We start from the raw sequence: 14083 nt of genomic DNA, 5'->3' as shown, positions 1-14083 counted from the left end.
CAAATGATCTCTTAAGATTCTGCATGGCTCTATCATTTTATAATACATAAGGTATTTTTAAATACTAAGTGATAATGATATAAAACAGGTTAAGACAATACAAAATTAAATAATCATTTACTTTTTGTAAATCAAACCAAGCATTCAAACCAACAGTAACATCACTAGCTCTTTATGCCACCAAGTCATAAATGACATATGCTTGGTATTTTTTCCCATAACTTTTTTCTAATACAAAAGTCAAGGACCACAAATCAGGAAAAGATTGGTATTATTTCCATTTGAATAAAGAGACTTTAGAAGTAATGAGTGAAGGTATATATACTAGACTGATATTCTGTGTTGGATTAAAGTATATTTAGTGTATGTTATACAATACAAAATTTTAGCATATTAAATACACTAAATGCACGAAGTACATTAAATGTATTTAATTTAGCATATTTAGTGTATTTAATACATTAAAATTTTTTTATAAAAATTTCAAATGGTTGGTTTTATTTCTTTCATTCTATATTTTTTAAATAAAATTCTGCGATAGCTACATTTCAACTAAGACCTGCATTACTTATATAAGCTTGAACTCTGTTTTTGCTAATGTGTCAATTTAAAATCACATAAAAGCCATTCTTGAAGTTTATTTTTCTCTTCATATTATTCAATTATAGGAATCAAAGCCATCAAATGATTTATCATATAATTTATTTTTTCACTGTCATTAGATATTTTAGAGACATGGATATATTAAATTCAAATTATAAAAATGTGGTTTTAGTCTCATATTTTGATACAACAAATACTGTTATTTCTATTAAGTAAACATTCAATATAATTCCATTAATTTAAAAATAATTTAAGAATGCAAATATCTAACATAGACTATTTTTGACATTTAGGAAGAAATGTAGTCTCACAAGTAACACAGTACATGAAACTAACAAAGTGTTGAGAAGTAAAGATAATGTAAGTTTATTATTAAAACCAGATAAAAATTGATTTTAATTATATATGCATATTTAAACATACATGTGTAGTTATATACACATGTACACAATAAAAGGAAATATTCAAGAAATATTAAGAAATTAAAATGCAAACATTTGCCCTGGAATCCCTTTCAGACTATGTGTTTAGCAAAATATGTTAACATATAATTCAAAGGCAAACTTAACCCTACCAATGTCTGCATTTAATGAAATTTAGCAGTAACTCTTTAGTCATATAAATATACTTAACATTTTCAAGATTATACCTTGACTCTAACAATAATAACTCCATGGTAACAAAGGTTAACAAGAGTTGGGTTAAACAGGTCTCATCCCCTGAAAAGCTTGGCATACTTACCCCTGCTAACTTATTCTCTAAAGAATGCTGTTAAAATCATAAGATCAAGCAAATAATATGATCAAAAAGACAGAAGCTATGGAGTCAACAACTCATGTCTTTTCTACCATTTACTATGTATGTGATTGTAAGTAAGTTATGTAAAGTCTCAAAGACCTGAAGGTAAAACACAGGCTACTATACAAAAGGCACAGAAAGATAACATTCAATGAGTTAACATATATATATATGTACATTTATGTATGTTACATATATGTTTATGTATGTTATATATAATATATATGTTTATATGTTATAATATATATATATAAATACCCAGCATAATATGTGACACAAAGTAAAAACTCAAGAAATGTTACTTTCCATATATCCACTACCCTTCAAGGCTCCTCTCTTATATCCATTCTCATATCCTGATAAATATAAACAGGTAGAGGAACATGGATTATACACCCATTATGTAGATAAAAAGAGAGGCAAAGATTTGTCAAGAAAACATGCAAAAATTCAAATAATCTCATAACTTCTAGATTAGGGAGCCCTTAAAGATCATCTCCTCCAACAACTTATAGCCAGACATTCTGGTGAAATGGTTAGCACTTTCAATTTTCTTTCTTTATATCCACTAAATTTTAAAATAGGAGTCATTATAATGTGTCCTTTTGCAAAATTATAAAAAGTAGAACCACTTGGTCATCTATAAACATGTGAAGAGATTCATCCACAAACACAGAAAAGCAAAAGATAATTCTTTTGTTTAATTTTATATGTGCAATGGGTGATGTTTTATTTTACCATTCAAATAAAATCTTCTGTTAATGCAATACTAAAAATTTGCAGATTTAGTAAAGGAATGATCAGAGTAACTCAAATTTTCCTGTTCTCGCCTTTACAGGGCTCATCGATTCCCATTTAATGTTGCAATGGACTGAATGTTTGTATGCTGCCAAAATTCAGATGTTGAAAACTCCTAATACAATGGTATTAGGAGGTGGGGGCCTTTGGAAGGTAATTAAGTCATGAAGGTAGAGCCCTTATCAATGGGATTAGTGCCATTATAAAAGAGATCCCGGGGAGCTCTTACCCTCTTTCTGCCATGTGAGGATACAATGAGAAGACAGCAGTCTGCAGTCTGGAAAAGAGTCCTCACAAGAACCCAATCATGCTGGCACCCTGATTTCAGACTTACAGCCTCCAGAACTGTGAGAAATAAAGTCTGCTCTTTATTAAGTCACCTAGTCTATGGCACATTGTTATAGCAGACCAAACAGACCCAGACAAAAATTTAACACCAAGTTGTAATAACAGCTATAGTATAAATGAGAAAAGTAGCCCTCTAAAATTTGATGTGGTATAATAGAATGGATGATGTTGCCATTCACTGAAATAAAGAATACTAAGAGTGAACCAGGTTAGGTTGAGTTTGGTTGGGTTGTATGGAGATTTTTAATTCAGCCTTTAGACATTGGGAATTTAGGATACTTCTAAGACATTCAAAAAGGCATGTCAAGTAGGCAATTGGTTACATGGCCACGGAGTTCAGAAAATAAATCTGAGAGAGAGTAATAAATGGCTCATCTTCACCAGATCACTTAGGGAAAAAGTTCAGGGAAAGGAGTGAGACAGCCTAGGGCCGTGCCTTCCCTAACTCTAAAATGGATTGGCTGAGCGGAAGAGAATGGGTTTGCAAAGGAGTGGCCAGAAAGAGAGGATTAAGATCTGGCATTTTGAGTTCCAAAGGCCAAGGGAAAAGAAAATAAATGAAGTCAGTAAATTCAGATACTATTAAGAGGTCAAGTAAGATAGTTTCTAAATTTAGCTAGCAATGTAGACATCATTGTGATCTTAGAGCTACCCATTTCCATAGCGATAGGGCAAAAAGCCAGACTTTGAAAACTAAGTGGGAATTGAGGAAATGAGTGAGCATAATCACTCTTGGAACAAGTTCGAACTAAGAAAACAGAAAGCAAAGATAGTACGTGGGAAAAAATATGGAGATTTAAAAAGGATTATTTGGGGTGGGTAGGGAGGTGGAGATTGTTTTTCGGAGTCAAGACTTAAGTATATTTTAAAAGTGAGCACAAGGACCCAGTTGGGAAGGAAAGGTGAACATAATACATAAATTATGTAAAATCTGAGAAAGTAGAGACGAGAAAATACAAAAACAAACAAACAAACAAAAAAAAAACCAGGCATAAGAAATGAACTTAGGACAAAGAACTGTTCCTCTATTGAAGTAAGGAAAGATGTTGAGTACAAATTTGGGTGGGTTTGGAACTCTAATCTCAGAAAAGAAGAAAAATGTCATCCAATGTTTCTAATTTATTTCTGGGATGTGGATGTCCATCTGCTCACTATGATGAGGGAGATAAGTAATCAGAGATCTGAAATAAGTGGAGGATATATGAAAAGTTGTGCAGAAATAGCAGGTATAAACTGGAGAAATTCTATATATCACAAATTCCTTGAGAGTCTTGATAAATCAAAGAATATGTGAGAGTATAATAGCAAGAAATATGTGAGGTCTAGTCAGGATTAGAAAAACCACACCAGCACCCACTCTTGTAGATGCAATTAATAAAAGCAGATTAGAAACTTGAAGTTTAGATTAAATTTTAAATTCTTAAGCAGTAGAAAGCATAATGAAGTCAGTAAAAGAAGAGTATACCAACACAAGTAAAGTCTGTGGACCTAGGAAGATATTTGCAAATCCAGAAATCAGCAAGACAAAATAGCACAGCTAATCACTGAGTGATTTTTATCTGTTTTCTCATCAGTCTGCTTCCATTTAACAGAGTAGAGACTATTTATAGGTAATATTGGTCTGCCACTTTCTTAACAGGGGAATTCACAATGGGTCTGGTGAAAATGGATGTAGGAAAGTAAAGACAGCTTTTAACAATGAATTTTTGAAAGATAGTTCAAACTGTTAAAACATTGAGACATATGATCAGAATGCTATATTTACAAAAATACATAATCATTTTTCCCAAGGACACTATATTTTTTAAAACCACAGAATCATTTTTCCAGAATCCTAGAAATTAACTATACAAAACTTCATACTTAAAATAAAAGTTTCTGTTTCTAGAAATGTTAGGTTCACACTGCCATGTAACTAAAATATTTTTGTAAAATTACAATTAAACATTCTTCCTTCAAATTGTTTCTCTTTTACTCACTCAGACTTCTTCTCACAAGTTTCAGAAGATTCTTCAATTCTCTTCTCTAACTCCAAAACAGCCTCCTCCTTGTTTAAAAGCATCTGCTGTGTTTGCATAAGTTCTTCCGCTAACGTTTTCAACCTAGAATAAACAGTATCCTCAATAACAACCAACAAATTAATTTTCACTTTATACATATCAAAAAAGTATTCATACATCTTATGTTGCAATGTCCAAAACAGTAGCCACATATAATCTGATTCAAACTAAAATAAAATTTCAGCTCTTTGGTTGCATTAGACACATTTCAGGTGCTAAACAGAAATGTAGCTACTGGCTACCTTACTGGATGGTGGAAAAAAGAATATTTCAATAATCACAGTAAGTACTCGGGCAATACTGGTCTAGAGTCTTATTCACCAAAAAGAAAAAGAGAAGTAGGTAAAGAAAAGAGAAGAGAACAACTTTGGTAGACATTGAGTAAATGGTAAGTAGTATTATTTGCAGATGTTATCTCATTTACTCTTCACAACAATCTTATGAGATATATAGTATTATTTTAAAGAAATGAAAGTGAGGCTCAGTTATTTGTCATTTTAAATTCATGGTAAGCTATTTCTATTTTCACATATTGTAGTAATACTTTAGGAGTATTTTCTGTATAGAATTGAAGACAATTTAATACATAAATTAATATGCGCTCACAAACCAGATAATTTATGTTTGTATAAAATGCATTGAGTCCTTAACGGAAGTATTTCTACCACAAAAACATACATGGCTATCATATCACTTTAAAATTTTTATCTTCAGCTTTTCAAAGCAAGACATGAAACCCAAAAGACAAAAAAGAAAATATTAAATAATCTAACTCTATAAAAATGAAAATTTATTTGAACTTAAAGAGATCATAAAGTCAAAAGCAAACCTGAAGAAATACCTGCAGCGCAAATTACCAGAAAGAGCCCTTTTCGTGCAGAAAAACTCTTAGAAAAAAGACAAACTAATATGAAAATGGACAAAAAACACAATGGAAGTTCACCATGAAAAAATTAAATGATCAATAAGCATATGAAGTTCATATGCTTAACACAACGGAAGTTCACCATGAAAAAATTAAATGATCAATAAGCATATGACATTATTATAACTAGACTGACTATATAATAAGTTATTTTTCACCTACTAAAATTGACAAGCATGAAAAATACTTGGAATATCCAGTAATAGCAATATTATTTTTTTTTAATGGAAACAATTATACATCACTGATGTGAAAAAATTGGCACAGATTTTTCAGGGGTCATCTTGGAACTGTCTCTCAAATTTTAAATTAGAAAATTATCTGACCATCTAAAAATGTGTCTTACCAAAACACTTGTACAATATGCACAAAGTCTGTCCATACAAAAATATTTGTTGCAATATTGATTATAAAGCAAAAAACTACAAAATATTTAAATGCCCTAGTATAGCATACAGTCACTAAAACAGAATTAGGTACACATATATAAGGTTTTTCTAAGATACAATTTTAAATTAAAAGGCAAAATGTAGCAGAATACATATAGCATTGTTCTAATTATATTAAAATACATATACATGCATATGTTCCATGAACTGAATTGTGACCCCAAAATTCATCTGTTGGGGCCCTAACCCCCAATATAATGGTATCTGGAGATGGAGCCTCTAGGAGGTAATTAGAATTAGATGAAGTCATGAAGGTGGGGCCCTCATGATGGGATCAGAGCCCTTATAAGAAGAAGCAGCACAGAACCCACTACCTCTCCTCTCCCTCTCCTCATGTATGCAAAGAAAGGGTCATCTGAGGACACAGCAAGAATTACCTATCTACAAGTCAGGAAAAGAGACCTCATAAGTAACCCAAATCAGTTGACATCTTGATCTTGGGCTTCCCAGCCTCCATATCTATGAGAAATCATTTCTGTTGTTTCAGCCATCCAGCCTATGGTAATTTGTATGACAGTCTGATATGGTTTGGCTGTGTCCTCACCCAAATCTCATCTCGAATTGTAACTCCCACAATTTCCACGTGTTGTGAGAGGGACCCAGTGGGAGGTAACTGAATCATGGGGGCAGGTCTTTCTCACGCTCTTTTCACAATAGTGAGTAAGTCTCATGAAATCTGATGGTTTTAAAATGAAGAGTTCCCCTGCACAAACTCTCTTTGCCTGCTGCCATCCGTGTAAAACGTGACTTGCTCCTCCTTGCCTTCTACCATGATTGTGAGGCCTCCCAAGCTATGGGGAACTGTAAGTCCATTAAACTTCTTTGTCTTCCCAGGCTCAAAAGTCTTTATCAGCATCGTGAAAACAGACTAATACAGTCCAAACAGACTAATACAATATATTTATGTGGTATGTGTTTATATGTGAGTGCACAGGATAAGAAACAGATGACTATAAACCAAAGTTTTATCAATACTCTGAGAGGTGTGCGATTGGACTAGGGAGTGATTTAAGTCCAAAGAAGTCTTTCATAGTTTACTCCATATATATCATTGTTTGAATCTCTTATAACAGGAATAGATTTTTTTAGAATCATTAAATAATAGGTAATAGAAATAAGAGAGGCAGAAAAACTATTATACATATTCAGAAGAATGCTAAATACAGCAATAAATATTATTTCATTTTTATTTAGAGTGAAACAACGTCATAAATTTCAGTAAGTCTCTGACGGCATTTGATATTAAAGCAAAATAAAGCAATAATACTTATAATAATGATCGAGAGTCATCAGGGAAAGGTCAGATTGAACATTTTTCTTTAATCATATATATATATTCATAAGACATTTGTATCAAATCCAGTAAAATTATGTTTTTGAATATCATGGAGATACAAGCTTCAGTTATTGAGAGAATTGGCTTGCATGGAATAGTTCATATTCTGACTATCAGATAAAGAAAACATTACTATATTAAGATTCAAGATCATTGTCAAGAAAGCTACATTTCAACCACTGGCTCCAACTTCCTTATTAAATAATTATAAATAAATAAATAAGTAAATAACACATAATGCTTTGCTGTTCCAACTGTGCCTTATATATAATCTCATTTAATTCAAATGAAAGTTTAGAACACAGAGCCCTACCTCAGAATCTGTCCCAACCACTTTCTGACACCCAAGTCTGGTGGAAACAGAAAAAACAACCAGCTTCTTATCACTGCCTTGACCATGCTACATCAAAGCTGAATTTAATAAAAAGCCTTTCCTCTCCTTATCACTTTCTTCTGTTCTATCCTTTGCTGCTCTTCCCTGCACATTTCCCTTATTCTCATTCTCTTCCTGGTTAATTTTCCATTCATCTCTCTTCTCAAAACTTCAATCATTCATTTAAACAAGTGTTTATTAAACACATTCCTTGTGTCAGACAGTCTGCTAGACAGTAGGGATACAATAATAAACAAGTTTGCCTTCAGGAAACTTACATTCTACTAGACAGACATCAAAGAAGAAAAGACAAATGAATTTAGAAGAATAAAATTATACAGGGAGGCCAGGAGCAGTGGCTCACATCTGTAATCCCAGCACTTTGGGAGGTTGAGGGCGGGTGGATCATTTGAGGTCAGGAGTTTGAGACCAGCCTGGCCAACATGGTGAAACCTCGTCTCTACTAAAAATACAAAAATTAGCTGGGTGTGGTGGCAGGCACCTGTAATCCCAGCTACTCAGGCGGCTGAGGCAGGAGAATCACTTTAACCTGAGAGGCGGAGGTTACAGTGACCCAAGATCGTGCCACTGCACTCCAGCCTAGGCAACAGAGTGAGACTTTGCCTCAAATATATATATATATATATATATATTTTTTTTTAATCTAAAAAAAATACATATGGTGAAAGTATTTACTCTTTCTTACCATTATCCCCTTAAAAATAAAAAAAAACCTGTAATGTGTGAATTAAGTGAAGAGAAAAACATTTGAGTAATTACAGTTCATGTATAGATGACATAACAAATGTAAGAATAGTTCATAAATTTCAAAGTACAATATTCACCATCATGTTATTACATGTTTCGTATACAAATATAATAGTAACAGTTCAAATGAGAACACACAGATACAGGGAGGGGAATAACACACACTGGGGCCTCTGAGGGGAGGGCCGGCAGGGTGAGGGACAGCATTAGGATATATAGTTAATGCATGCGAGACAATACCCAGTGATGGGTCTATAGGTGCAGCAAACCACCATGGCACACGTTATATATAACAAACCTGCATGTACTGCACATGTATCTGGAACTTAAATAAAATAAAATAGCATAAAAAATAGTAACAGTTCAAATGGCTTATTCTTTATATTTTTAAATTAAATATTATAATATTATAAGGCAAAGCAGTTAAAAGTCATAAAATGACCCTACCTGGAAAAAAATCACAAAATGACATAATACTTAACATTTGAGTGCCAAGCATAGTTTTAAGCACTTTATAAATAAGCACTTAAATTTATATAATTCTTATAACACCCTTATAATCCCCATTTACATATGAAGAACTGAAGCAGAGAGGTTAAAGCTCTTGTCCACCGTCACAGAGCCGGTAAGTGGGAAAAGCTGATAATAGAGCCCAAGCAGCTTAAATCCTGAATCCACACCCTTAACAACTAATATCCTGTCTTAGTAATTACACATCCTAGAATTTATCCCATATATATGCTTCAAAAGTGTACAAAGATGTAAATACAAGAATGTTTATTGTATAATCACAATAAACAAAAGTAAATGTATCATGATGCTAATGATGCTTAGTTCTCAGGTGCCTCACTTGCATGATCCCTTCCAAGACTCTCTACTTAATTTTGTATTTGTAAGTTTGTATAGATTTTCTTAAAGATGTTCCCCACACTCCAATTTTATAAGCTTAGAGTCCCACAAAACCTAGCACCAACTCCATCAATGGAAAAAACTGGAAATAACCTAAATGCCCATCAATAAATAACAAAACTAAAGAAATTACATTACATACAAGTAGTAAAACACTGTACACATTAAGAAGATTTAATACATGTTAAAAAAAAGAAGATGATGCTAAGGAATATGCATAAAATAATTCCTACTTACACAGAAGAAAACAATTCACACACATGTATATACATTGTATATACATTCTGGAAAAATACATACACTTTCTTCATGAGTTAAACCTAGAAGGTAGTGATGGTGGTCGACGAAAAGAAGAAAGGAAAATGTTAATTTTTATTGTATACCTTTTTGTAAGATTTTATAGATTTTATCATCTGCATGCTTTAGTTAGATAATTTTTAAAGATTTAATTGTATTAAACGATACAAAGGAAGCCCAGCATGTTGGCTCCCGAATGTAATCGCAGCACTTTGGGAGGCTGCGGCGGGTAGATCAGTTGAGGTCAGGAGTTCGAGACCAGCCTGGCCAACATGGTGAAACCCCATCTCTAATAAAAATACAAAAAATTAGCCAAGTATGGTGGTGCACACCCGTAGTTCCAATTACTTGGAAAGCTGAGGCAGGTAAATCACTTGAAAGTGGGAGGCAGAGGCTGCAGTGAGCAGAGATTGCGCCACTGCACTCCAGCCTGGGCAACAGAGCAAGACTCAGTCTAAAAAAAAAAGATACAAAGTCTTAAAACCTTTACTATGGATAATAAAAAGTTTCCAATACTTATCCAACACTTTTCATATCATAATCATTGGATGTCACGATCTAAATCTTACAACACTCTTAAAGGGATCAAACTTCCAACTTCCAAAAAAAATTATGACTTGACAAACCATCTTAACTTTCATTTCTTACATGAAATTTGCAATGCTGAAACTTTAAGTGTGACATTTGGGTTAATTAAAAAAATGGAATTTATAGTTGCCTGAGGTAACTTTTCTGGCATCTCTTTTTCTCTATTGTTGCAATATAAATTGAAAACATAAACTATTTCTTGCCATCTCTTTCTTAAAATATAATTGCAAGAGCATAGGATTTTTATGGATGACAATCTATACCATGACACAAATCTTTATGAGCTTTTCTCAAGAGTAAACAGAAGATGGCTTCTACAACCAAGTGAAAGTTACGAGTTTCTGTTAAATACAGTCACCTCCTAATACCCACTTAATCCACCTCCAATCCAACAAATCCATCTGCTTTCTTCCATACAACTTTGTTTCCCTTAATCAAACGGTCCTTCCGACATGTCACCTGACTTCAATATTTTACATTTTTCCAAATCTTTCCAACTCACTCTTAAAGTATTCCCCTAACACAGCCTGAGCAAATTATAATACTGTATATGTTCAACCAGAGACCAAACTTGAGCTAATACTGTAAACAAGAACAGCCAAAAACAGATTTGGTAAAAGCAAGGCTCTATGCAAGAGATGGAGTAGTGAAGTATTTGACACCCCATTAAATACAAGGTTGATTCAGATAGTTGGATGGGTTAAATTGGTATCATCCTCTGTAACAGGAGTCAGCAACCATTTTCTGATAAAAGCACAGAAAGCAAATATTTTAGACTTTGCCACCAAGAAGCAAAATCAAGCATGGTACATAGGTATTTATATAACAAAAGAGAAAACAAAGATTCACAAATATTTTGTTGGCAAATTCAAAATACAGTAATAACTGGGCACATGTTATCGTAATGCAAGTCTCTTAATGAGAAGAATGAAAATTTTTTGATGGCCATAATACTTCCTATCACTGCAGTTCAAAGTTAGTGTTTATAATCAAAATCAACTATAAATGTTCACCTATTAATGCAGATATTTAATAAAATTTTAAGTCTTTCACATTTGTACAGTACATAGACTAGTACTGCCAAATACCAATAGCAATCCATGACCATAAGATTTTAATTAAGTATATTCAGTGCTTAGCAGGCATGGTGCAATTGCATAATAAACACAATGTTTCTTCATCTAATTCAATAACAAAATAATCCACATTCTGCTATGCCTTAAAAGTGCCACATTTGAAATCTATTTTCTCTTCTTCTTTTGACACTATAGGCATGAACTGATAATAAAAATAAGATGCCACAGTATACTGATATGTGTGGCACTCAAAATGCTGTTGAGTTATAACTGTGTCACTGTGATTTGTATAGTGCCAAGCAGATGTGTGAAGTAATGAGTGTGCCACATATGGTCTCTGTCACAACTGCTTGGCTCTGCCACTGTAGTGTGAAATCACCCACAGATAGCAGGTAAGTGAATGAGCATGGCTGTGTTCCAATAAAACTTTATTTACGTACTCTGATATTTAAACATCACATAATTTTTGTGTGTCACAAAATATAATTCTTCCTTTGATTTTTTTCCAACCATTTAAAATGCAAACAGCATTCTTAGCCTCGTGGGCTGCATAAAAATGGGCAACTAGCTGGATTTGCCTCATGGGCTATAGTTTGCTGACTCATGCCCTACAAGATCCAAGACAATCACTTTTCCACATAAAGAATTACCATTCTTCAATTGAGATATCCTATTTATATTCTAAAAGCTAAATATGTTCTGATTTTAAACTTTAAAAAATGTACTTGAAATCATAAGGCCTGAGACTAGATTTTGTTTTAGAATACAAGACTACACATTTTACGTAATCATGGTATTCAAATATATCTACTACTGATAGGCAATAACACCTTATAATAAAGAGACCTCATTTGAAATCAGAAAACAGAGTCAACAAAATAACTAAATAGGACCTTAATTCTTTACTGCTTTATTAAAATTAATCAAAATTTCTTCTTTTGCAGACAAGTTAATGCTTATATTATTTTAGAATAACCTGCTATCTTTAATTTGTCATACTTAGCCTACTGATGTGTTGATTCAAAACTCCATTTAAGTTTGCAATAGGTCACCATTAGATGACTCATCTGTCCATAATGACAAAAAGCACGAAACAGACACTTAAATATATTCTTCTAATGTTCAAAATTGTATGGACTTTACTTTTTCAACTAATTTGAAAAACTAAAATTACTGAGTCCCAAATTATTCAATTAAATAGTAACTAGATGAGATGAAATATTTGCATATATAATTTTAATAAATAGATGATTAAAAATAAATTAAGCACAAAAACGCTTTCAGCATTTGGCAAAGAAGGTAGATGCAAAAAAAGAGGCAGATGGGAGATAGGTGTTGGTAGGGAAGGAGAGAAATTATATTATATATAATAGATACAAAGAAAGTAACCTCAGATTTAAGCCCGAAAATAATGTAGCATAAATGCATGTGTGATGGGAAGTGCACAGCTTCAGGTGTCCAGTACTAGAAGTTACCTGAAGCTGAGAAATAGCCTTTGACCACATGGTAAGATACCATCCAAAAAATTTTCCTATAAATAGGAGATAATCCTACAAATAATTGAGTTTAACTCTCCTATGTATTTAGACCTTGATAAATATGGCTGATAGATAAATAATGAGATTACGATAAAATGCTTCGTGGTACATATTCAGATAGGTAAAGGTGATAACTTTATCAGGTACATGTCATAGTGTTAGATTTCCATAACAGAGGGGATAAGTTATCTGTCCAGTTTCACAAATATAATTTGCCAAATTATACACCAACTTACATATGTAGCAACATTTTATAAGAGGGCTTATATATCTGTACTTTATACAACACTGGGTATTATCCAATTATTTAATGTTTTCTAATCTGGTAAGTTAAATAGCCTATTTCTTTTTAATTTATATTTAATTGCCAAAGAAGAATATCTTTTCCAAGTACTATTGGTAATTTGTATTTCTTTTTCCAGGAACTAACTGTTCATTTGTTTCTTTCACTTCTATTAGAATAATATTACAACACGAATCTACGACTAAATTAACAATATTAATGCCTTCAGGAAAGAAAAGATGTTTAACTTTAAAGCACTACTAAGTTAAAAAAAAAAAGGAAGAAAGATTTTTCTAAGTCTTATATTACATTAAAAAAATACATACAGTTTTAATGGAATTACCTTATACTTATTTGAAAGTGCCAACAGAGATGCTGAATAACTCTCTGGGAATAAAATTCTTGAAGAAACCCCTAATCTTAAACTCATATCCTGAATACAGACACTGTTAAATGAAATGTAACTAAAGTTTATCTCAGTAAAATGTGAGCAATTAAAACTTCTACCACATTATCAAAGATTTATTACCTTCAATTTATTGCATTTTTGTTTACTGCTTCATCACTATAATTAAGAAACAATGATTTATGAGCATACCTAATTTTGGTCTCATTATACCCTAGAAAGCTATAAAACAAATTCTTCTTTGGTCACAAAATCTCTGATTTTACATAAGCTTATAACAGGTAGCTATTTTTAATTTTACCACACTATATTCCAAAATCTATATACTCACTCTTTCTGGTGTTTATTAAAACATATTAATCAATTTCAGTGTAAAGTCCTTGAAGGCATTAACCCTTACAACCTTAGATATACAGTAAATATATCAGATGAATAAATTAGTAAGTTATTTGGGAGCAATATTATAATAAAAAGAAACAGGAGTAATCTATGTCATATTCCTTCACCAGCAGCACGTGAATTGAGAAA

The 14083-nt window shown here is 32.4% G+C and overlaps 1 protein-coding gene across 21 annotated transcripts in view; it reads right to left on the bottom strand.

The window, feature by feature from the left end:
• Nucleotides 1-14083, bottom strand: part of FER (FER tyrosine kinase) — a 448945-nt gene that overhangs the window by 308797 nt on the left and 126065 nt on the right. For all 21 annotated transcript variants that reach the window (NR_146155.2, XR_007058589.1, XR_007058591.1 and 18 more), the window contains one exon: nucleotides 4527-4649. Coding sequence is in view for 17 of the 21 variants with exons in the window: in NM_005246.4 (NP_005237.2) it covers nucleotides 4527-4649 (123 nt within the window). In the remaining 4 variants the exon portion in view is untranslated. The remainder of the gene's footprint in view (nucleotides 1-4526; nucleotides 4650-14083) is intronic.

This window comes from Homo sapiens, chromosome 5 (assembly GCF_000001405.40).
Source record: "Homo sapiens chromosome 5, GRCh38.p14 Primary Assembly".
NCBI classification, from domain to species: Eukaryota; Metazoa; Chordata; class Mammalia; order Primates; family Hominidae; genus Homo; species Homo sapiens.
Note: the sequence above shows the minus strand (reverse complement) of the source record. Positions and strands in the feature narration are given on the sequence as shown.